The 23,288-nt window shown below is 47.6% G+C and overlaps 1 protein-coding gene across 2 annotated transcripts in view; it reads left to right on the top strand.

Moving 5' to 3' along the window:
* The window catches only part of NGEF (neuronal guanine nucleotide exchange factor), a 134,556-nt gene that overhangs the window by 22,081 nt on the left and 89,187 nt on the right, over positions 1-23,288 (top strand). For both annotated transcript variants that reach the window (NM_019850.3, XM_011510923.4), the window contains exons 2-3: positions 16,212-16,553; positions 20,848-20,962. In NM_019850.3, the coding sequence (NP_062824.2) occupies positions 16,286-16,553; positions 20,848-20,962 (383 nt within the window). In that variant the 5' untranslated portion in view covers positions 16,212-16,285. The remainder of the gene's footprint in view (positions 1-16,211; positions 16,554-20,847; positions 20,963-23,288) is intronic.

Here is a 23,288-nt window from a genome sequence, read left to right as displayed (position 1 = left end):
TCTTCCTGATCTTAAGAGAAAGTATGCAGTCTTTCACAATTAAATATGGCATTTGCTGTGTAGTTTTCATAGATGCCCTTCATCAGGTTTGAGAAAATTTTCTTCTATACCTGGTTTGTTGAATGTTTTTATTATGAAGGGTTGTTGAATTTTGTCAAATACTATTTGATGTCATATGCCTAATAAGATGATCATGTTTTTGTCCCTTGTTTCATTCGTATGGTATATTACACTAATTGATTTTTGCATGTTAAACCAATCTTGCATTCCTGGGATAAATTCTACTTGGTCATAGTATATAATTCTTTTCATATATTGCTGGGTTCAGTTTGGTAGTATTTTGTTGAGGACATTTTCTTCTCTATTAATAAGAGATGTTGGACTATAATTTTCGTTTCTTGTGACTTTTATCTGGTTTAGTAGCCCTTCCATTTTTTATGTTTGTGAGGCCTCTTCTATAAAATAACATTTTTAGAGATAAGAATTTATTTTTGGGCTGGCCATTCTGTTTCACTGATCAACTACTTTGTACCAATACCACATTCCTTTTATTATTGTAACATTTAATGATATTTGGGAGAAGAAGGCTCTCTTTATTATCTATATTGCTCAAAAAGTTTGAGCTAATTTTGGCTGTTTATCCTGCAGATGAATTTCATAATCATTTTGTCAAAACAGTCTGATCAGTTTTTTCATTGGAATGGCACTAAAACTATAAATATTAACTTGTATTAAATATTAACTGATATATTTTTAATATTCCATTTTCCCATCCAAGAAAAACTCATGCTTCTCTAAATATGCAAGCTTCCTTTCATCTCTCAAGTTGTTCCTTTATATAGGTTGTTTGTATTTATTAATACAATTATCCTGAGTTTTCTGGCTTTGTTACTATAATACTATAGTTAGAATCTCTCCACTTTCTAACTTGTTTTTGTTGACATACAGTGAGTCTATCTTATTCAGGACCTAGGCTGAATTACTTGTAATTCTGGGAGTTTCAGTTGGTTCTTTGGAGTTTTCTAGGTATACAAGTCATGTCACCTACAAATTATGATTACTTTAGCTTTCTTCCTGATAACTTATTTGTTTTATGTCTCATTATGCTGATCAAAACTTCTGGAAACATGTTAATAATGATGACAGCAAGAACCATACTCTTATTGGGAGCATCTCTGATTTTTCACCATTACCATGTTTAAATGTACACAGTCTCTTCTTTACCATGGTGAATTTTCCTTCTAGTCTCATCTTTAAAGCTTTTTGCTGGGGATTGGTATTTAACTTTGTCAACTGACCTACAAATGTGCTATATTGTATTAAGACTTTCTAATGATTATGAAATTGCCTCAATTTTTTTAAGTTAAATCACTCTGAAAACACTTTGATAAAGAAATTAAAACATCTCATTTAACTGTTCATCCTTATTCCATACCTAATTCTTTGGGAAACCACAGTTTTTGAAAGTATACATATAAAACAGCTTTACTTTTCCCCATCATGGCCTCTAACTTCTCTCTGTCTAGACTCATTTCTCTGCTGCATAGCAGGGGTCTTGGAGGTTTGTTGTCCAGATCCCATAACTTCCCTGTCTCCTTTAGTTTTTAGAATAGACTCATTTCTGTATTTAAGGTTCTGTGCTAGTCATTTTTTCTCAAAAGACATATTTAATTTTTGAATACATAATACTCTGGCATAGTTTTGTTTGTTTGTTTGTTTGTTTTGTTTTGAGGCAGAGTCTCACTCTGTTGCTCAGGCTAGAGTGCAGTGGCACGATCTCAGCTCACTGCAACTCTGCCTCCCGGGTTCAAGCAATTCTCCTGCCTCAGCCTCCTGAGTAGCTGGGATTACAGGTGTGCACCACCATGCCTGGCTAATTTTTGTATTTTTAGTAGAGACAGGGTTTCACCATGTTGGCCAGGTTGGTCTTGAACTCCTGACCTCAAGTGATCCACCCACCTCGGGCTCCCAAAGTGCTGGGATTACAGACATGAGCCACCGCACCTGGCCGACATAGCTTTAAGAACCAAAAATGTATTAAAAGGTACATACCTTAAATTCTTCCTCCCAGCCCTACTCCCCAACTATCCAGGCTCCCTCATCTAATTTAACCTTATTTCAGATATATGTGTGTTTGTGTGTGTGTAACCATTGATAATAATTTTGATACTAATTTCTTGTAACTCCTTCCAGAAGTTTTTAGGCAGATTTGAATAAATTTGAATACATTTCTCTCTTTATGCTGATAGAAACATACAAAATATACTCTTCTATTCTTGCTTTTTTTCTGGATTTTTCCCAGCATCCTTTCCTGATCAGTACTGTACATGGAACTTCCTCTTTTTTGCTTTTACAACTGCATCATCTCCCATTTGTGAAAATGTTTAGAATTTTCTCATCTGTGGGGCCAGTTTCTGATCAAAAGACACCCCGGTTGCTTCCAATTGCTTGCCCTTGAACAATGCTGCCATGAGTCACTGGCTCCAGGATGATGCTGGAGTGAGTCACCTGCACCCAGGACACTCCCTACAGTGCAGGCAGATCCAGTGGCCAAATTCCTGCAGCGGAGATGGCTGGGTCAAAGCGTATTTGCTATTTTATTTTGATAGGCATTGCCAAACTGTCCCGTAGGGCTGGAATCCATGTAAACTCCCACCAGCAGGGATGGCGGCTGCCTGCTGCCCTTGGCTGCACCAATCACTCTTCAAACTTTTGAGTTTTTGCCAATATAGCAAGTGAAAAAAGACATCTCAGTGTGGTTTGAATTTTCTTTCCTCTTAAGAGGCACAGGGTTGAAAATCCTTTCACAAGATTTTAAGGGTGATTTGTATCAACTTTCTGTGTGCTGTTTATAGCCTTTGCACATTTCAGCCACGTTACAATTTTCCAAAGTTCAATCTCATAGTGTTCAAAGCTCTTCTTGCAGACAGTTTGGGGAGTGGCAAGGAGCTGGCCTGGAGCCACTCTCCCCACCTCCCCTCCTCCCCCAGTGGTGGGGGAGGGAGCAGGGATCAGCCAGCTAAGGCACCTCTACTCCACCAGCTGCGCACAGCGGTAGGAGGCATCCCTCTGGGGTCTTTGAGATTGTCACTCACACACACACACACACACACACACACACACACACACACACACACACGAGACCATCCCTTCCAGAAGGGTGACCACATCTCCCTCTGGCCCTGGGGGCACATGCCTGCTTGCAATCCCTTCTCCAGCTTGGGTCTCCTATTGCTTGGCCCAGTGGCCATGTGGGCAGTCCCCAACCCCTACCACTTGCTGACATTTGGGTTCCAAGGACCCTCAGGGAACTCTAGGGTCTTCTTGTAAAGGGCTGCTCCAAAGGCCATGGAGAACAAAGATAAGGCTGAGGGGGTTCATTTTCTTCAAGGACACACAGGCCACAATCCCTTTGAGCCCCATGGAACAAAGTCTTCCAGCAGGTCCCTACCTTCAGAAATCCCCCAGCTCAAAGCCAGCTCCATTCCCATGGGCAGCGTATTCCCATATCTCAGCACCATAACCCTAGGCTCTCAGAACCCTTTCCCAGGAGACTCTGGAATGGGCCCATGGGTTCCACAGCCCTATGAGCTTCCATCTGGGAGCCTCTCCTTCCTGCAGGGAGCCCTGGGCCTTTCCAGGGCTTCTTTGGAGCCAGCTTCCTCTTTGCATGGGCTACAGCACCCCCAGAGGGCCAAGCTCCTCCCTTCTTCTTCCTCTTCTTTTATCTGAGAGTGGGGACTACCATAGGAGGCACACCTCCCTCACCGATCCCTCAGGTTGCCAGCAGACCCAAGCTACAGCAGAAATTTGTTTGGCCTTAGCAGCAATTCCAGAACATCAAAAAAGTCCTGCTCTGGCCAGGCACGGTGTCTAATGCCTGTAATCTCAGCACTTTGGGAGGCTGAGGCAGGTGGATCACTTGAGGTCAGGAGTTCAAGACCAACCTGGACAACATGGTGAAACCTCATCTCTACCAAAAATATAAAAAATTAGCCAGGCGTGGCGGCACGTGCCTGTAATCCCAGCTACTTGGGAGGCTGAGGCAGGAAAATCACTTGAACCTGGTAGGCAGACATTGCAGTGAGCCGAGGTCATGCCACTGCACTCCAGCCTGGGCAACAGAGTGAGACTCTGTCTCAAAAAAAAAGAAAGAAAGAGTCCTGCTCTGTGTCTTACAATGCCTCCAACACTTGATTTATGCTTCCTGCTGTATATGTTTCCCCTCTAATTTTGTCTTTTGACTTATAAACTGTGTATATAATTTTTAAAGATATTTAATTGACAAATGTGGAATATGTTCAAGGTATACAATGTGATGATGTGATAGATATATACATCGTGTAGTGATTATCACAGTCAAATTAACACATCCATCACCACCTGTGCTATATGTTAGATCCCCAGAACTTGTTCATCTTATAATTGAAAGGTTTTACCCTTTGACCCACATCTCCCCTTTGCCAAGGACCCCCAGCCCTTGGCAAACATTGCTTTACTCTCTGCTTCTAAGAGTTTGACTTTTTAGATTCCACATATAAGATCATGCAGTATTTTTCCTTCTGTGTGTGGTTTATTTCACTTAACCATATACAGAAAGCTCAACCAAGCTCATCCATGCTGTTGCAAATGGCAGGATTTTCTCCTTTTTTATGGCTGAATGATATTCCACCACATATATGTACCACAATTTCTTTATCCATTTATCTGTAGATGGACATATGGGTTGATTCCACATCTTGGCTATCATGAATAATGAACATGGTTGTGTAGATATCTCTTCAAGATGCTCATTTTATTTCCTTTGGATTTATTTCCAGAAGTGGGGTTGCTGGGTCACATGGTAGTTCTATTTTTAACCTCTTGAGGAACCTCCATACTGTTTTCCATAATAGCTGTTCCAATTTACGTTCCTACCACCAGCACACAAGGGTGCCCTTTTCCCACATCTTCGTTCACCAACACTTGCTCTGTCTTATCTTTCTTATAACTGCCATGCTGACAGGTGTGAGATGGTATCTCATTGTTTTGTCTTTTTCTATTGATCAGTGATCTTGAGCATTTTTTCATGTATCTGTTTTCCATTTGTATGTCTTCTTTTTTTAAGAATTTTAAAGCAAAAGTCAATCTTCAGCAATGCTTCAACATTTTACTTTTTATTAGCATATTTAGTGGAAGAGCCTGCTGGTCCTGCCATAAACTGAATTCTTTTTTTTTCTTTTTTCTTTTTTTTTTTTGGACGGAGTCTCACTCTTGTTGCCCAGGCTGGGGGGCAATGGCGTGATCTGGGCTCACTGCAACCTCTGCTTCCCAGATTCAAGTGATTCTCCTGCCTCAGCCTCCCAAGTAGCTGGAATTACAGGTGCCCGCCACCACACCTGGCTAATTTTTGGGTTTTTGTTTTGTTTTTGTTTTTGTTTTGAGACGGACAGAGTGTCTCTGTCGCCTAGGCTGGAGTGCAGTGACACAATCTCTGCTCACTGCAAGCTCCACCTCCTGGGTTCACGCCATTCTCCGGCCTTAGCCTCTCGAGTAGCTGGGACTACAGGTACCCGCCGCCAAGCCCAGCTAATTTTTTTGTATTTTTATTAGAGACAGGGTTTCACCATGTTAGCCAGGATGGTCTCGATCTGCTGACCTCGTGATCCGCCCGCCTCAGCCTCCCAAAGTGCTGGAATTACAGGTGTGAGCCACTGCGCCTGGCCTAATTTTTGTATTTTTAGTAGAGATGGGGTTTTGCCTTTTTGGCCAGGCTGGTCTTGAACTCCTGACCTCAGGTGATCTGCCCGCCTCGGCCTCCCAAAGGGCTGAGATTACAGGTGTGAACCATGGCACCCAGCCCATAAACTGAATTCTTAATGTTGCCTTCTAGTGCAGAGGTAGCATCTTCCTGTGGTATGATTGCATTGGGATTTTAATGGGAAGTTGGGAACTGGGATTAACTCAAGCTGTTATCTCATCTAACAGTTTGCTCAGGTCTTCCGACAATATAAAACAAATTCCAGAACTCCCTATACATGGCAGAAGGAGAAAGGGAAGGAGAACACGGCCAGGTATCAGGTGATGGGGGAAGATTCTAGTCCTGGCTGTTGAAGCTCTGTGACCCCAGAAAGCCCCTCCCCTTCAGCAAATGGCACTGTGGCTGGAGAGATGGCTGGGGGATCCTGAGAGCTGTCCCCAATCTCCCCGTCCACTCTCAATTCCTTATTTCATTTCCTAATTTGCCTGCTTTTCGTTCATTCAACCTCTTACACTGAGAACCCACTATGTGCAGATAGGCAGATCTCCAAATCATTAACTTCTCAATCTTACGCTCCGAGCCCTTTGGTTCCTTGAAGAGCTGGCTTTAGAATTCCATCATCCGCAGCTTTTTTGTAAATATAAAATAAAACGTTTAACTTTTTAGAAGTTCCATTGTCTGAAATTTCCCTGCCCTGCCTAATGCCTGCCAAGCCTGCAGGCTTCTTCCCCAGAGTCCTCCCGGCTTCTCCTTCCTCCATCACCCACACCGATGGCTCATTTGTGCTTCGCTTGCTGCAGTTCATGCAGCTCACGGTTCCTCTTCTCCATCACGCTGTCATTGGCCTTTTTTGCTGGCCGGAATGTCTAGCTTGTTCTTTCCCCTCTGGCTCTGCCCCTTCCCTGGAAGGCTGTCTTCACATCACAGGTTATAGATACAAATCCATAACCTACAACTCTCTGGCATCGGACTTCCATCCTGTAAAAAACAAATTGTCTCAAACTCTATGCCACTCTCTTCTTCCTAGGTTTAAAGTTAATTTCAGGCTGGGCATAATGGTTTACACCAGTAATTCCAGCACTTTGGGAGGCTGAGGAAGGATGATTGCTTAAGGCCAGGAGTTCCAGACCAGCCTGGTAACATAACAAGACATCCACCCCTACAAAAAAAAAAAAAATTGAAAATTAACCAGGCATGGTGGTATGTGCCTGTAGTCCTCGCTACTGGGGAGGCTGAGGAAGGAGGATTGCTCGAGTCTAGGAATTCAAGGCTGCAGTGAGCAATGATGGAGCTACTGCACTCCAGCCTGGGTGACAGAGTGAGACCTTGTCTGAAAAAATTAATTTCAGTGATTTCTGTCCCAGCATCAGGAAAGCGCATGCTCTTCACATTTGACATACCACTTCTCTTGCACATGATGTTTGTCAGAGTTTCTAATCCACTTCCCACTTTTGCATGAACATTCCAGCCTGGAGGATGTAAAACTGAGCAGCAAGGAGTGAGAAGAGGTAGCCCTGGGGTGGAGAGGCCCGGACTCGGGGCCCAGCTGGACTGTGGCAGCCACGTGGGCTTAAGAACGTTCCTTAATCTCACCGGGTTTCAGCATTCTCGTCTCTAAAAGAGATGTTGTTTGTATTAGAAATTACGATTGTTAAACTGGTATTCAATGAGTTGTTCCTGTAATTCATACTTAACCTTCCAGGTTAGTCCCAACCCTACACGAGACCGAGACCGGGGCACAGTGGGCCATTTCCAAGTCCAACTTCTCTCCCTCTGAGCTCAGACTGGCTTCCCCCGCACATTCTTGCTTCCTCTCCTAGCGTGTTAATGAGTTCTGCAGCCTTAAGGAAAGCCAGGGGCCATCCTTACTTTTCTCCTTCTTGAGCCAAGGCTCCCTGGCTTCCCTCCTGCAGGCCTCTGCTCAGATAGGCACCCCTGACCTCTCAGCTAACCCTGCACCCCCACCCCGACCTGCTTCAGGTATTTCCATCCTCAGGAGGGTCTCCATTCACCCCTCAGGCACCAAACTGCTGCTTTCTGCCTTCTGCCCTGGTCTTGGTCCTAAAAGGTCCCCTCCTCCTTCCCTCACCGCTCGGGGACCCTCCTCTCTACCTCCCGAAGCCGACGCCCCCAAGTGGCCACGGCGTAGTAGGGGCTCCCCCCACCCCCAGGTACAGAACTTTCTAGGCTTCCCGGCCTTGCTCCAAGTTTCCCTTCTCCAGCCCCTTTCCTGTTACTGCCCCTCCCCACTGCTGGCTCCCCAATTTCTGAATTTCCACTTAAGATTTTTCCAGGATCTTTCTCTCGCCCTCACCTTTGTTCACGCTCAGAACACCAAAATGCCCCAGTGGGCAGCCATCCCCAGGGCAGGGTGACAGCTGTCTCCCTGTGTGATTGATTGGCTTCTCCACCTTTTCCACAACTGTCAAGGGTTCCATTAGAGATCCATGCCATGCAGGTCTTCCTCGGACACAGAGCGTCTTCTGGGGCCACTGTCCCAGCTCCTTCCCTTGCAGGGACTTTTCTGCCAAGCCAGAAACTTCATCTGTGTCTCCTTCCTCTGTCTAAATCCTCCTGTCTCACTCTCCCCACTTTGATCCAGGGAGAAAAAAGGCCCAAGGCTGCCGGGCGCAGTGGCTCAAGCCTGTAATCCCAGCACTTTGGGAGGCTGAGGCGGGCGGATCACCTGAGGTCAGGAGTTCGAGACCAGCCTGACTAACATGGTGAAACACTGTCTCTACTAAAAATACAAAAATTAGCCAGATGTGGTAGCGGGCACCTATAATCCCAGCTATGCAGGTGGCAGAGGCAGGAGAATCGCTTGAACCCGGGAGGTGGAGGTTGCAGTTAGCTGAGATCGTGCCACTGCACTCCAGCTTGGGTGACAAGAGCAAAATTCTGTCTCAAAAAAAAGGCCCAAGACAAACCTGTGCTTCCTACCTGGGAAGAGGCTAACGTACCAATTCAAGGACCAGGAAGGAATGTGGAAATGATGTAGGTGATCTGGGATCAGCCAGTCCCTCTCTTAGGGGTGCTGGGGGCACCTTTTGCCTCAATAAGCCCCATCTTCCTGCCCCCTTGATGGTAGGTTCAAGCCCTTCTTGTCACAGGAAAGGTGCCACCATGCTGTCCCCCTGTCTCAGGCCACACTTCCTGGCCACCTGCCCCACCTGGACCCTAACACACCCCACAATCTCCACGGATGCCCTGTGTCCCCTCCTTGGAGAGATTGATGATGTTTCAGTGTCACCTGCTGGGCAGCAGCTGCCCTTGTGCTCCAGGCATGGGGCTGCCCATGCCTCCTGCTGGGCTGAAGCTGAAATCCAAGGTCCCAGCTCCAAGGACCAGTGAAGCTCCCCCAGTCCCAGTCACCCAGGGCTGTGGCCTCCCCTGTGACCTGCTCCTCACCAGTACCTCCCCTGCAATGGGCTCTGCCACTTCCCTCTCCCTTGTAGTCCTTTTTTCCCTCTGGTGGCCCCTGCGAGCTCCAAGGAGGCCAGGCCTGTCTCACTGAGCTGTCCCCAGCACCTAGAGGGGCCTGTTCCCGAGCAGGTGTATAAACACCCAGTGGGTTCACCTTGCCTACTGCCTAGACAGAGCCAATTTATTAAGACAGGGGAATTGCAATGGAGAAATAGTAATTCACGCAGAGCCAGCTGTGCGGGAGATGGGAGTTTTATTATTACTCAAATCAGTCTCCCCAAGCATTCGGGGATTGGAGTTTTTAAGGATAATTTGGCAGGTAGGGTCTCGGGAAGTGGGGAGTACTGATTGATCAGGTTGGAGATGGAATCATAGGGATTGAAGTGAGGTTTGCTTGCTGTCTTCTGTTCCTGGGTGGGGTGGCAGAACTGGTTGAGCCAGATTACCACGGTCTGGGTGGTGTCAGCTGATCCATCCAGTGCAGGGCCTGCAAAACATCTCAAGCGCTGATCTTAGGTTTTACAATAGTGATGTTATCCCCAGGAGCAACGTGGGGAGGGTCAGACTCTTGGAGTCAGAGGCTGCAGGACCCCTAAACCGTAATTTCTACTCGTGTAGCTAATTTGTTAGTCCTGCAAAGGCAGACTGGTCCCCAGGCAAGAAAGGGGTCTTTTCGGGAAAGGGCTATTAGCAATTTTGTTTCAGAGTCAAACCGTGAACTGAATTCCTTCCTATAGTTTGGCCTATGCCCAGGAATGAACAAGGACAGCTTAAAGGTTAGAAGCAAGGTGGAGTTGGTTAGGTCTGATTTCTTTCACTGTCACAATTTCCTCAGTTATACTTTTTGCAAAGGCAATTCCAGGTGCTTGGGAGGCCCTCGGCCCTGGGGAGGAGACATCCTCCTTTCTCTTGTTTTCCACCTTCTCCTACCCTTACCCCTCCATTCCCCTAGTTGAGAGGCAGAAGACGATAGCGAGAGATGGCAGGGCTCCAGCTGCCCCTTCCCTACTGGTGCCAGTCCTTCTCCAGATCAGGACTCCTGCTTGCCTCTGACCTGCGCAGGCACTCCATGTGCCCTAGACCTGGCCAAAGCAAGGGCCGCTGCTCTCGCCCAGGCAGCTTCTCCCTCATGCACCTGCTGAGGATGCCCTGGTGGCGGTGTTCCCCTAGGACTTTGCCTGAGGGGGCTCTAGGGACTAGCAAATGAGAATGCTCTGCGAGCTGTCTGACTCATGCCTGTAATCCCAACACTCTGGGAGGCTGAGGTGGGTGGATCACTTGAGGTCAGGAGTTTGAGACCAGCTTGGCCAACATGGTGAAACCCTGCCTCTATTTAAAAAGAAAAACGTAGCCAGGCACGGTGATAGGCACCTATAATCCCAGCTACTTGGGAAACTGAGGCAGAAGAATCATTTGAACCCAGGAGGCAGAGGTTGCAGTGAGCTGAGATCGCGCCACTGCACGCCAGCCTAGGCGACAGAGCAAGACTCTGTCAAAAAAAAAAGAAAAGAAAAAAGAAATGCAGTCTCAGCCCCCACCCAGGACCTCCTGAGTCAGAATCTGTGATTTAACGAGAGCCCCGGATGATGTCTGCACTTGGATGAGATCCAGTCTAGAAACTTCACCTCTCCACACCCACCTTGCTCCTCCCCACATGCCCTGTGCCTTCCTCCCCTGCAGTAGCTGGTGATTGCTACAGCTGAGCCTGCAGCCAGCTCCCCACAACTCCCCACCTCCTTGTCCCCTTGTGTCCTGACCTCCCAGGACACTGATTCACACACTGATTCATGCAGCCCAGTGCTGGGAGGTGTAACAGCCACCTCAGCTCCTGGGCCTGAAGCTGCACAACTAACACAGAGACAGCCAAATAGAGCCCCCTCCTGGCTCTGATCCTTCCAGGCCTGACTTCAGCCCACAGTTACAACAGCATCTTTTGACCACATCACAGGTCCCCCCAACAAATGAGTCAGATAGCTGTAGTGTGACCCCTGCCGCACCATTTGCCAGCCATGCGACCTTGGCCAGATTATCACAGCTCTGAGAGTGGCAGCTGCCTCATCTATAAAGTGGAGTAATTATCACATTGACTCATGCGGAAGTTGCGAGGCTTGGCTAAGGTAACTCATCCGTTCATCTATTGCTGTAAAAAAAAAAAAAAGATGTTTACAGAGTGTTGTTGTGTGGCCGGCATCAGGAACAACAGAGACCCAAACAGACCAAGTCCTGTCCTGAGGAAGCTTATTAAGGAGGGAATGTGGACAGACATAGAATGAAGACGTGAGTCCCATGCCAGCAGGTGCTCAGGGGGTGTGAATGAATGAATGAATGCAAGTGCACCATGAGCTGCACCCTCCCTCAATCACAAAGCTATCCCCAGGCTCCCCCACCCTGAAGTTACCATGGAATAGAAAGACATGGGTCTAAAGCCACAGAGGAACTTAAGGGAACATCAGAAGATTGGGGTGGGGGAAGCTTCTGGGTTTTCTGGCAGTTAATCGTTATAGACGAATCAAAGCAATTATAAAAAGATTCCAGACGCAGAGCACATTTGCTTAAAATAGTCTATAATTGCAGCAGAATTAGAATAGTTTTACAGATAGTTTTACAATCTCTTCCTGTGTGTGTGTGTGTGTGTGTGTGTGTGTGTGTGTGTGTAAAATCATCTCAAAGGTGGTAAGATCTGGGAATACTTCTTCTCAGGGTTTCAGAGCCTCCTCATTTCAGGGAGGACAATCCCCCTGACTCTTAATGTACCATGAACATCCCTCTAAGGACCCTCTGAGCCTCCCTGGATCACCAAATTTGAGAGCTAGAAGTCAAGAATACCCACCCACCCCATGTTTTCTGGACAGGAAACTGAGGCCCTGACTTGCCTGATGTTAAGCCTGTGATTACAAGCAGCTGGAAATGGAGATTCGAACCCAGGTCCCCTGACTCCTGGCCCAGTGCCCTTGGTGGTATATGGTGTGGGCGTCGTTGCATCCCTGGCACCGCACAGTAAATGCTGGTGATCAGCACTGACACAGGCAACGTCGACAGAGCAGCGAACACAGCACAATAGGCTACAGAAGCCAGACACCCAGCCTGGGCAGCATGGCAAAACCCATCCCTACAAAAAATACAAGTATTAGGCGGGCGCCTGTGCTCCCAGCTATTCAAGGGGCTGAGGTGGGAAGATGGCTTGAGCCCATGAGGTCGAGGCTGCAGTGAGCCACGGATGAGCCTCTACTGCACCACTGCTCTCCAGCAAGGGCGACAGACTGCCAGCTCCACCTACACAACAGAAAAGGGCAAACCAAGACTCTAATTGGTGGTTGCCGGGGCTGGGGGCGGGGCAGTTACTGACCTCCGCAGGCACAAGGGGACTTTTCCCTGTTGAGGGAGCTGTTCTGTATCTTGGTGGTGGTGGTGGTTACATGCACTGAATGTGTTTGTCAAAACTAATAAAAAGAGTAAATTATACCGCAAGTTATTTTTGTTTCGTTTTGTCTTGTTTTTGAGATGGAGTCTCGCTCTGTCGCCCAGGCTGGAATGCAGTGGCGCAATCTCGGCTCACTGCAACCTATGCCTTCCCGTTTCAAGCGATTCTCCTGCCTCAGCATCCGGAGTAGCTGGGATTACAGGCGCCCACCACCACGCCCAGCTAATATTTTTTTTCTTTTAGTAGAGACTGGTTTTCACCATGTTGGCCAGGCTGGTCTTGAACTCCTGACCTCAAATGATCCCCCCCCTCAGCCTGTGCTGGGATTACAGACGTGAGCCACCATGCCCAGCCCCTCAAGTTTTTAAGATACAGCCTAAAATAATGACGATACTGATAGTAATAATAACCTTGAAAGCCAAAAAAAAAAAAAGTTCATGTTAGGATCACAACACAGAGGCCCCGGGGGTCCCCTTGTCAGAGCCGGAAGATGCCTGTTAGCAACTCAGTCCAGTGTCGGTTAGGGATTTCTGTCCACAAACTTTTCTCCTGGGAGATTCCTCAACCCAACACCGCAAAACCAGTGTGCTCTGACCCCAACCTGGCTTCACTCCTGCTTCCCAGACCAGGAGTGGCATTCCGCCAGGCACCCAGGCCCACAACAAACAGGGGGCCAGCTCCCTTGTCCGCTGCTCTCAAAACCACCACAAGTCACTGACCTGCAATTCCTCCCATTCCTCCCTGCAGCTCTGACCTGTCCAGGTACTCACCTGTGTGCCATCCCCCTCAGGACGTGCTCTATGTCCCCCACCACCCCGCCTGTGCCTCCTGCTCGGGGCCTGCCAGGCCCTCTGGCCACCAGCAGGGTTTGCTGGGTGAGCTCCTCGGTCCAGCAGTCAGAGGCCTCCACAGACTGGCACCAAAACACAATGAATGCCTACATCATCCACCCCCACTCCCACCCCACGGGACCCCTGCCTATCACTGTCCACAGGTCCAGCTCTTCACTGAAAGCAGCCTCAATGCAAGGGTTTGGGTGAGGTGGTAGGCACAGGGGCCGGGGAAAGAAGAGAGAAGGCAATGCCAGCGGCAGGCAGGCCTCACTGAACTCTAAAACCTCAACAGCGCCTCCAGCCTCCATCTGGACAGCTCCAGTGACAGGGACGTCAGCCCCCAAAGCAGCACCCCCATCTCTGGGGAGCTCGGACACTCATGGTCTCCGCCTTACACTGAGCTCAAGGCCATCATTGTCTCTGGGTCTCATTCTGCCCCCAGGCTCCCAGAGGTCAGATGGGTGACAATGGTGACCTCGTCCCTCCCGAGTCTCTGCCCGTCCTTGCAGCCACTTTTCTGGTGGATCAGGTTCCCAAGTGGAGCAAGTGCAGGGGTCCCCGTTCATCTGGCCAGGTTGGAAGCCTCTCTCTCTCTCTGTCCTCTTGCTGGCTCAAGAACGGTTTCGCTCTTATTGCAACCTCATCCCCTCAGTGACCCAGGTTAAACTTGCTGTGAATGAAAATCACCCCATCTCGCTGGAGCTGTGGGTTCTTTGCCACACATAAGACAAGCATCTTCCTCCCAGGCACTCCCGGGAAGGGTGCGTATTAATGGTCCATCCTAAGTGTGTCCTCCCAGCCACCGCACAATCCTCTCTGGCCACCTGAAATAGCAGCGTTGCTTTCTAGTTGGAAGGGGCTTCACCGACCCCATAGTGCACACTCCAACTTCATGGATCAGGAAACTGAGGCCGGGACCAGAAGGGTCAGGTATTGCTGGGTCCCCCAGACGACCGTGGTGGGGAAGGCACTCCCCAGGTCCCCATGAGCTCAGGTTGTGCCCCTGCACGTGGCCCAGCTGCTCTGAGGCAACCTCTGAGTACGTTAATGCTCATTTCTGCCTGGCTGACAATTTACAGGGAAGGTGGTTAATAGAACAGGATCAGCCCTGCAAGCAGGTGGGAAGGAGGTGCCATCCTAGGGCAAACCTTCTGATACAAACCTGTGTCGGAAGTAGCTGGTTCTAGGAACCAGAGTGGCCTTCAGTCTTCAAATCCCCCTACCCAGAAAGTCCTAATTCCTATCTTAGGTAAACGAAGGCATTCTCGGCCTGGGGTAGGGGAAACCCAACCTCCTGACTATTCTGCCAGACCACCTGCCCTGAGATCAGTAGTGTGGGGCTGGCTGGTGGGTGTAGAAGAAGGTGTTTGGGAACTCAGAGGGACTGTGGAGGAAGAGGAGTGGTGCGGTGGGAAAGGAGGCATCTGAAACCCAGCCCTCCATGCTCCCCATTTCACAAAGGAAGACACAGACAAACACTCCTGATGAATCGTAGAACACTGGTTGAGCTGGATGTTTGTGGAAGGGAGCAACAGAAGAGGACTGGAAGGGTTTTTTTGAGATGGAGTCTGGCTCTGTTGCCCAGGCTGGAGTGCAGTGGCAAGATCTCTGCTTATGGCAACCTCCACCTCCCAGATTCAAGCGATTCTCCTGCCTCAGCCTCCCGAGAAGCTGGGACTACAGGCATGTGCCACCAAACCCAGCTAATTTTTATATTTTTAGTAGAGACAGGGTTTCTCCATGTTGGCCAGGCTGATCTTGAACTCCTGGCCTCAGGTGATCTGCTCGCCTCGGCCTCCCAAAGTGCTAGGATTATAGGCCGGTGCCTGGCCAAGTCTCTGACCATTTTGAAGGTATGATGGAATCTCTGGACCGATAGGCCAGAAAAATGTATATGCTCATACACAGCCTTGTACCCTGAAAACCTCCATAGAATCCATGTGACCCCAGGTTTCAAGCCCTCAGATGAGTGGAGAGCTGAGAAGAATTCCTAGCTCGGCCTCTCTGTCTAACACGCTGTCCCACCAGCTTAGACCCACTAAGAGGGTCCACATAGTCTCTCGCCCTGAGCACCCCTACCCTAGGAGGTCTTTGTGGGGAGGGAGGTGGGGTTTGTTCCTGTTGTATCCCCCTTTTCCTATGAAAAGTGTCCTCGTTCAGATGATATGCTATATGGTCACCCCAGAGGGAGGTAACCATTCTGTTTCTCCAGCCCATGGTGGGGTGGCCATGGGATGGGGGGACCTTATTCTTCCACCACGGCCATACATCATTCCATCAGAAAGGCCACTAATGCACCCACTAGACTTGGTTGCCAGCTGATGGCAAGGTTTGTCGCCTTGGGGATCAACCTTGCCCATGTCTAAACTTACCATTGTGAGACCTTGCACCAGCCCACAACCCTTTCTCATCTTCTGAGACTTTCTTTTCCTGTCTAGACATTTACGGTCCCTCTCAATGCTTTCCTGGAATTCCCTCACTATTTCTGCCACCCTTTTTCTCTGGAATTATTTAAGAAGTATTTATTTGAATGTAGTTTTGCAAGCCACTTTAAACATTTCCCCCTAAAAGTGCCTCTTAGGAATAATGTAAACAAACGGCAATTATAAAATGATACGTGAATGCCTCCAAATTGCAGAGATTAAGCTGTAATTTTCAGTGGCGAAGACGTGGATACCAGGATGTGCAGATTATCCCACGTTTCATCAAATTCGAATGGGAGTGGAGTTCCACAGTCTGAATAGAATACTTAGCCTGATGACTAACTGAAAATTGTTTTCTATCTATTCTAAAGCACTCAAACCAGTGAAGCTTGGGAAAGTCATTGACCTCCAGTCGTTCTGCTGAGAAACATCTGGCTCTATTTCCATGGAGACCAGGGAATCTGAAGATTTGGAAAAGACCCGGAGGAAATCAGCAAGTGATCAATGGAACACTGATAATGAACCAGCCAAGGTGAAACCTGAGTTACTCCCAGAAAAAGAGGAGACTTCTCAAGCTGACCAGGATATCCAAGACAAAGAGCCTCATTGCCACATCCCAATTAAGAGAAATTCCATCTTCAATCGCTCCATAAGACGCAAAAGCAAAGCCAAGGCCAGAGACAACCCCGAACGGAACGCCAGCTGCCTGGCAGGTCAGTATCAGGGACAGCTGTCACGGCTGTTCCCTTACATCCAACTGGAGTCATCAGTGCTGAAAGGTCCTCATTAAATGAGAAAGGATAAGTGGCATTGAAAAGTACCAAGGACAGTTTCAACAGGGTAGTGCATTTTAAAACCATTATCTAAAGAACCCAAATTCCTCCACTATGATGACGTGTGTACTTAGGAGAAAGGGTTGACCCAAATTAGACAATTAGACTGGCTTCTACTGAAAAGAGATTTCTTGTTCTAGAACTCAGCAAAACACCCCTCGCTGTACATGCATTCTAGGAGGGAGACTTAGAGCCATCCACATTACGGGTCATCTGAGAACATGAATTGTCTCGGTGATGAGGTTCTGTCCTGTTCTCTCACTGTGACTGCCATAGCCAAAGCTTCTGCTGCTCTGAAAATAAATGAGATTAAAACCTTGGGAATAGATTTGCAGCAAGACTTCTTAATCTTTTAGACCAGTGCCTAGCACATTTTATCTGCTCAAAATATATGCATTGAGCAGAATAAAGTTCAGAAAACTTTACAAATGGGGTGTTGGTGCTACAGACTCTTTTCCTTGTGACGTGCTCCTGTGGTTGACAGGCAGCCTGCTGGGGGTGAAGAATGTGTGACAGTTTCCCAGCCCGGGAGGCACAGCAGCTGCCACCAGACTATATATGCTACCCTGAGTGTGCCAGAGTGGCAACCCCTGCTAAATCCAGAGACTTCATCAGTGCATTCAAAAACATTCATTAAACCCTGTATTGGGTAGCTGTTTGCCACACGTTAAACTCCCCTCAAAATATAGAGACTTAAAACAACAATATTTATTATTTCTCATGATTCTGGGGGTTGGTTTAGTGGTTGCTGTGTCTGGGCCAGTTTACCTAACCTCTGCAGTCAGCTGGTGGCTCTTCTGGGTTTGGAAGGTGGAGGACAGCCTCACTCATCTCTCTGGTGGTCTGTGAACTGGGACTGCCTGCCTCTGCTCCACGTGGTCTCTCATCCCCCAGCAGGCTGGCCCAGGCTTATGCATATGGCAGTCGGGTTCTGAGAGAGCAAGAGCAGAAGCTGCCTGGCATCTTGAGGCCTAGACGGAGACTCAGACCTTGCATAGTCCCTTGCACCATGTTCTGTCAGTCAAACCAGCCCACAGGGCCAGCCCAGACCAAAGGGGTTGGGGAAATTGACTTCACCACTCCACGGTGGTAGAATCTGTGGCTGTTGCCATCCACCACAAACACTAACAAAATCATGTATCAAGCACTGAGTTAAGCAAGAAAAATACAATGATTGAAATACTATCGTCGTGGAAGCTCAACTTTTCCATATGTTTGAAATTTCCCGTATACTAAAAGTTAAAAGCACATTCTCACACACGAGGAAGCTGGGGTCTCTGCCTTTGAGGAACCCACAATATTGTAATGATGTCATTTTAATGCAAGCCATGTGTGAAAGTTTACAGGAGAGATAAAGGCAAAGCATTAGACCCTTCTGCTGGGGTTAGGAAAGGGCTTCCCAAAGAAGATGATATTTCAGATGAGTCTTGACAAATGGGTAAGGACGGCCGGGTGCAGTGGCTCACACCTATAATCCCAGCACTTTGGGAGGCCGAGGTGGGTAGATCATCTGAGGTCAGGGGTTCGAGACCAGCCTGGCCAACATGGTGAAACTCCATCTCTACTAAAAATACAAAAATTAGCCGGGCATGGTGGTGCATGCTTGTAATGCCAGCTACCCAGGAAGCTGAGGCAGGAAAATCACTTGAACCCAGGAGGCAGAGGTTGCAGTGAACCAAAACCATGCCACTGCACTCCAGCCTGGGCAAAAGAGTAAGACTCCATCTCAAAAAAAAAAAAAAAAAAAAAAAAAAAAAAGGATAAGGACATGGCTGGGGAGAAAGTGGGAGCAGGCTTGGTTGATTTCATGCAGGTACCCGGTGGCTGTGCTAGTTTGCTAGGCAGGCATTTCAAGGGTATTCTTACCATACCCATTTTACAGATCAAAAAATAAACAACTGAGGCCCACAGAGATTGAGCCACTTACCCAGAATCACACAGCTATTGTGTGGTACAGACTGAGCTAGAGTTCAGATCCTTCTGGCTCCAAAGCCTGTGTAGATGGAGAAGGGGGTTACAGTAGCGCCATCCAACAGAAATATGCTGCAAGCCACATACATCATTTTAAATTTTCCAGTGGCCACATTTAAAAAGTACAAATAAATGGGTGAAATTAATTTTAACAATGCATTTTATTAACCCAGCAGATGCAAAAGCTACCATTTTATCCTGTAGTTAATAATCAACATAAAAAATATCGATGAAATAGTTTACATTCCTTTTTTTTGCATGAAGTCTTTGAAATCTGTTGAGTATTTTATATTTGCAGCCCCTCTCAATTCGCATGCCAAATTTTCATTGGAAATACTTGATCTGGAATTAGATTGCATAAAATGTACAGTCAGAAAAGTGGATTTACATACCCAAATTGATCCAAATACCCTTAAAAGTTTCCCAACAACTGAATCAATATGAGTTTGTACTTTTAAATGTAAATTACATTAAATAAAATGAGAAATTCCCCTCCTCAGCCACATTTCAAGTGCATAATAGTCACACGTGGCTAGCGGCCACCCTGTTGGACAGGGCAGGGGTAGGGCACTGTAAGCAGACAGAAAAGCAGCTGCAGCTGCCAAGGTTGGGGGTCGGGGAAGTCTTTCAGGGTTGCAAGAAAAGGAAGGTGTAGGGCTGTGTCTGGGATGAAGCTGGGGAGGGCAAGAGGGCCGCTGGGGAAAGAGCCTCGAGTTTGTGACCTCCCCAAGCTGAGCCAAGGATGCTGACACCAGATAGACAGAACAGTGCCATCCCCAAAGGTGGCCTTTATGTCCAGCCATAAATGTTTTCATCAGATTTGCAGGGGTTGTTTGTTTGTTTGAGATGGAGTCTCGCTCTGTCACCCAGGCTGGAGTGCAGTGGTGCAAGCTCACTCAGCTCACTGCAGCCTCCACTTCCTGGGTTCAAGCGATTCTCCTGCCTCAGCCTCCCAAGTAACCGGGACCACAGGTGTCTGCCACCATGCCCGGCTAATTTTTGTATTTTTAGTAGAGACAGGGTTTCACCATGTTGGCCAGGCTGGTTTCGAACTCCTGACCTCAAGTGATCCGCCCACCTCAGCCTCCCAAAGTGCTGGGATTACAGGCGTGAGCCACCGCGCCTAGCCTTACAGTTTTATTTTTACAGTGACTCCTTCATGTCACCTCCTTGGAGCGAATTCTTTTGACTGCTCAGTACTTCCTGATCCAAGAATCCAAGGAGAAAATGTCGTGCTTGACCTACATGGTGAGAAAGAGCACGGGGTGGGGGCTGGGGAAGAGAAGGAGCAGACAAAATGGGCTACTGGGTCACTCCACAGCCACCAAAGAAGCTCATGATCTGGAGTCACGATGTGTGATTTGGGTCTGGAAGGTGTGGGACATTCTCTGTTTCATCTGCAAAATGAGTACCCCTTCAAAATCACAGCAGATCATTGCCTAAAAATCCCACCCCCGGGTGAGCAGACTTTCTGGGGGAGGCTAACTGGACTTATTATTTCATATTGATTAGGACTTGGGAATTGTTAGATGCTAAAAAAATTGGCAAGTTGCCAGTGATTTTTGACCAGTAGAAATAACACCAATCGTTATGGTTTTATTGCCCTGTAAATATTAGCCAGGTTTGTATTCTTATTTCCAATATCTTTTTTTCCACTGACTACGTATGTATGTTTATGTATATGTAAATGTATATGAAGTTGCTTAAATCATCATTATAATTTTCTTTTTTTTTTTTCACCCAGGCTGGAGTGCAGTGGCACGATCTCAGCTCACTGCAACCTCCGCCTGCCAGGTTCAAGCAATTCATCTGCCTCAGCCTCCCAGGTAGCTTGGATCACAGGCATCCGCTACCACACCCGGCTAATTTTTGTATTTTTAGTAGAGACGGGGTTTCACCATGTTGGCTATCCTGACCTCAGGTGATCTGCCCACCTTGGCCTCCCAAAGCGATGGGATTACAGGTGTGAGCCACCGCACTCGGCCCATAATTATAATTTTCATAGGGATGGCATCCCAGGCCATCTGACACAGCATGAGGTGTGACAAACTCCCCTTCAGGGAGTGAGGGGAGGGACACCCCTTCCCACTCTGCTTCCTCCACCTTCCAGCATGACTGCTGCTACTGTCCTAGGCTTACAGAGAATTGCCTGAAAAGGGTTGATCTGTATCTTCTAACTTGCTCCATTTCTGAATTGTCACAGATTCACAGGACAATGGAAAATCTGTAAATGAGCCCCTGACCTTGAATATCCCCTGGAGCAGAATGCCTCCTTGCAGAACAGCAATGCAGACAGACCCAGGAGCCCAGGAAATGAGGTAAGAGATGGCAGATCATGAGGAATGCTGGTCTGGGAAAGATGCATCAGAGGTCATTGCTGCAAAGACTTGACAGGGTTACGAGGGTGTCATGTTAAAAAAAATAATAATAACTTTTGGTTGCCCGTGCTAAAAAAATAAATAAATAAAAACTCCATAATTTAAAAAAAACTTTTGTTTTGTACAGTAATTTTTTAAAAAAATATTTGTGGGCAGTGATGTGGTCTTGCTATGTTACCCAGGCTGGCCTCAAACTCCTGGGCTCTAACGATTCTCCAGCCTCAGCCTCCCAAAGAGCTGGGATTACAGGCACAAGTAACAAAAAAACTATTGTTACTCCTCTGACAAAACTAGGAAATTTTGAATACTACATATATTAAGAAATAGAATAGAAAAATCACAGCCGGCGTGGTGGCTCACACCTGTAATCTCAGCACTTTGGGAGGCCGAGGCAGGCAGATCACTTGAGGGCAGGAGTTTGAGACAAGCCTGGCCAACATGGCAAAACCCTGTCTCTACTAAAAATACAAAAAACAAATTAGCCAGGTGTGGTGGCACTCGCCTGTAATCCCAGCTACTCGGGAGGCTGAGGGAAGAGAATCGATTGAACCCGGGATGTGGAGGTTGCAGTGAGGTGAGATAGAGCCACTGCACTCCAATCCTGGTGATGGAGTGAGACTGTCTCAAAAAAATGAAGGAAGCAGGGGAGGGAGGGAGGGAGGGAGGAAGGAAGGAAGGAAGAAGGAAGGAAGGAAGGAAGGAAGGGGAGGGAGGGAGGGAGGGAGAGATAGTTCACTGTATCTTGGCCAGGCAGAGCAGCTTGTGCCTGTAATCCCAGCTCTTTGGGAGGCTGAGGCCAGAAGATTGTTTGAGCCCAGGATTTTGAGGCCAGCCTGGATAACATAGCAAGACCCCATTAAAAAAAAAAATCACTGTACTACCACCACCCAGAGAGGTTTTATTATGTTGCAAATGTGCTTCAAGTCTTTTTTTTCTATATGTTTATGCATCCTTCCTTTTCATAAAATGACATCTTACTATAAAATATTCTCCAGTATGACTGGATTGTGATTTATTAATTATGCTCCTATTGTTGGGTTTTGGGTATTGTATCAGTCAGTACCGAATTCAGCTGCTTATTTTAAAACATAGCACAGCTTAACACGGCAGAGATCTATTTGGCCGTTGTGTGAAAGAAGTCTAGAGGGTCGTGACCGCGGCTCCTTCACGCCTGCATGGACCCAGGCTCCTTCTAGCTTTCTACTCTGTCATCTGTCAAGGTGACTGCCAAAGCTCCAGCCATCACAGCCACAGTTCAGGTGGAGGGAAAGAGAAAAGCCAGCCAGGGAAGGGCGTGGCACCAGCCAGGTCTGCCCTGATCTTAAGGAGATTCCCTGAAGCCCACCCAACCATTGCTGCTGATATCTTATTAGCCAAAACTGGGTCACATGGCCACCTCCACCAGCAAGGGAGGCTGGGAAGTGGGTGTGTCATTTAAAAGCAGGTCTGGGCCAGGCGCAGTGGCTCATGCCTATAATCCAGCACTTTGGAAGACTGAGGCGGGTGGATCACTTGAGGTCAGGAGTTCGAGACCAGCCTATCCAACATGGTGAAACCCCATCTCTACTAAAATATACAAAAATTAGCCACATGTGATGGTGCATGCCTGTAGTCCAGTGACTTGGGAGGCTGAGGCAGGAGAATCCCTTGAATCCAGAAGGCAGAGATTGCAGTAAGCCAAGATCATGCCATTGCCCTCCAGCCTGCGCAACAGAGCGAGACTCCGTCTCAAAAAATAAAATAAAATAAAATAAAAGCCAGGTCTGGGCCAGGTGCAGTGGCTCACTCCTGTAATCCCGGCACTTTGGGAAGCCGAGGTGGGCAGATCACCTGAGGTTAGGAGTTCAAGACCAGCCTGACCAACATAGAGAAACCCCATCTCTACTAAAAATACAAAATTAGCCAGGCATGGTGGCACATGCCTGTAATCCCAGCTACTCAGGAGGCTGAGGCAGGAGAATCACTTGAACCCGGAAGGCAGAGATTGCGGTAAGCAGAGATCACACCATTGCACTCCAGCCTGGGCAACAAGAGCGAAACTTTGTCTCAAAAAAAAAAAAGCCAGGTCTGTTTCTGCCCTCAGCAAATGGGTTCCATCAGTGAGGAAGAAGGGGACAGTGGATACAGGGAAGGCAACAGCAATCTCTGACCCAAGACAGTTTCAAATTTTTGCTGTTTTGTAAGCCACACTATGATAAATATCACTGTGGCAAAACCTAATGCCCAGCCCTCATTATTTCTTTAAGCTAAATTCCTAGAAGCTTCA

The sequence above is a fragment of the Homo sapiens genome, chromosome 2 (genome assembly GCF_000001405.40).
Source record: "Homo sapiens chromosome 2, GRCh38.p14 Primary Assembly".
NCBI classification, from domain to species: domain Eukaryota; kingdom Metazoa; phylum Chordata; class Mammalia; order Primates; family Hominidae; genus Homo; species Homo sapiens.
The sequence above is the reverse complement of the archived record's forward strand: the minus strand, read 5'-3'. Positions and strand labels throughout refer to the sequence as shown.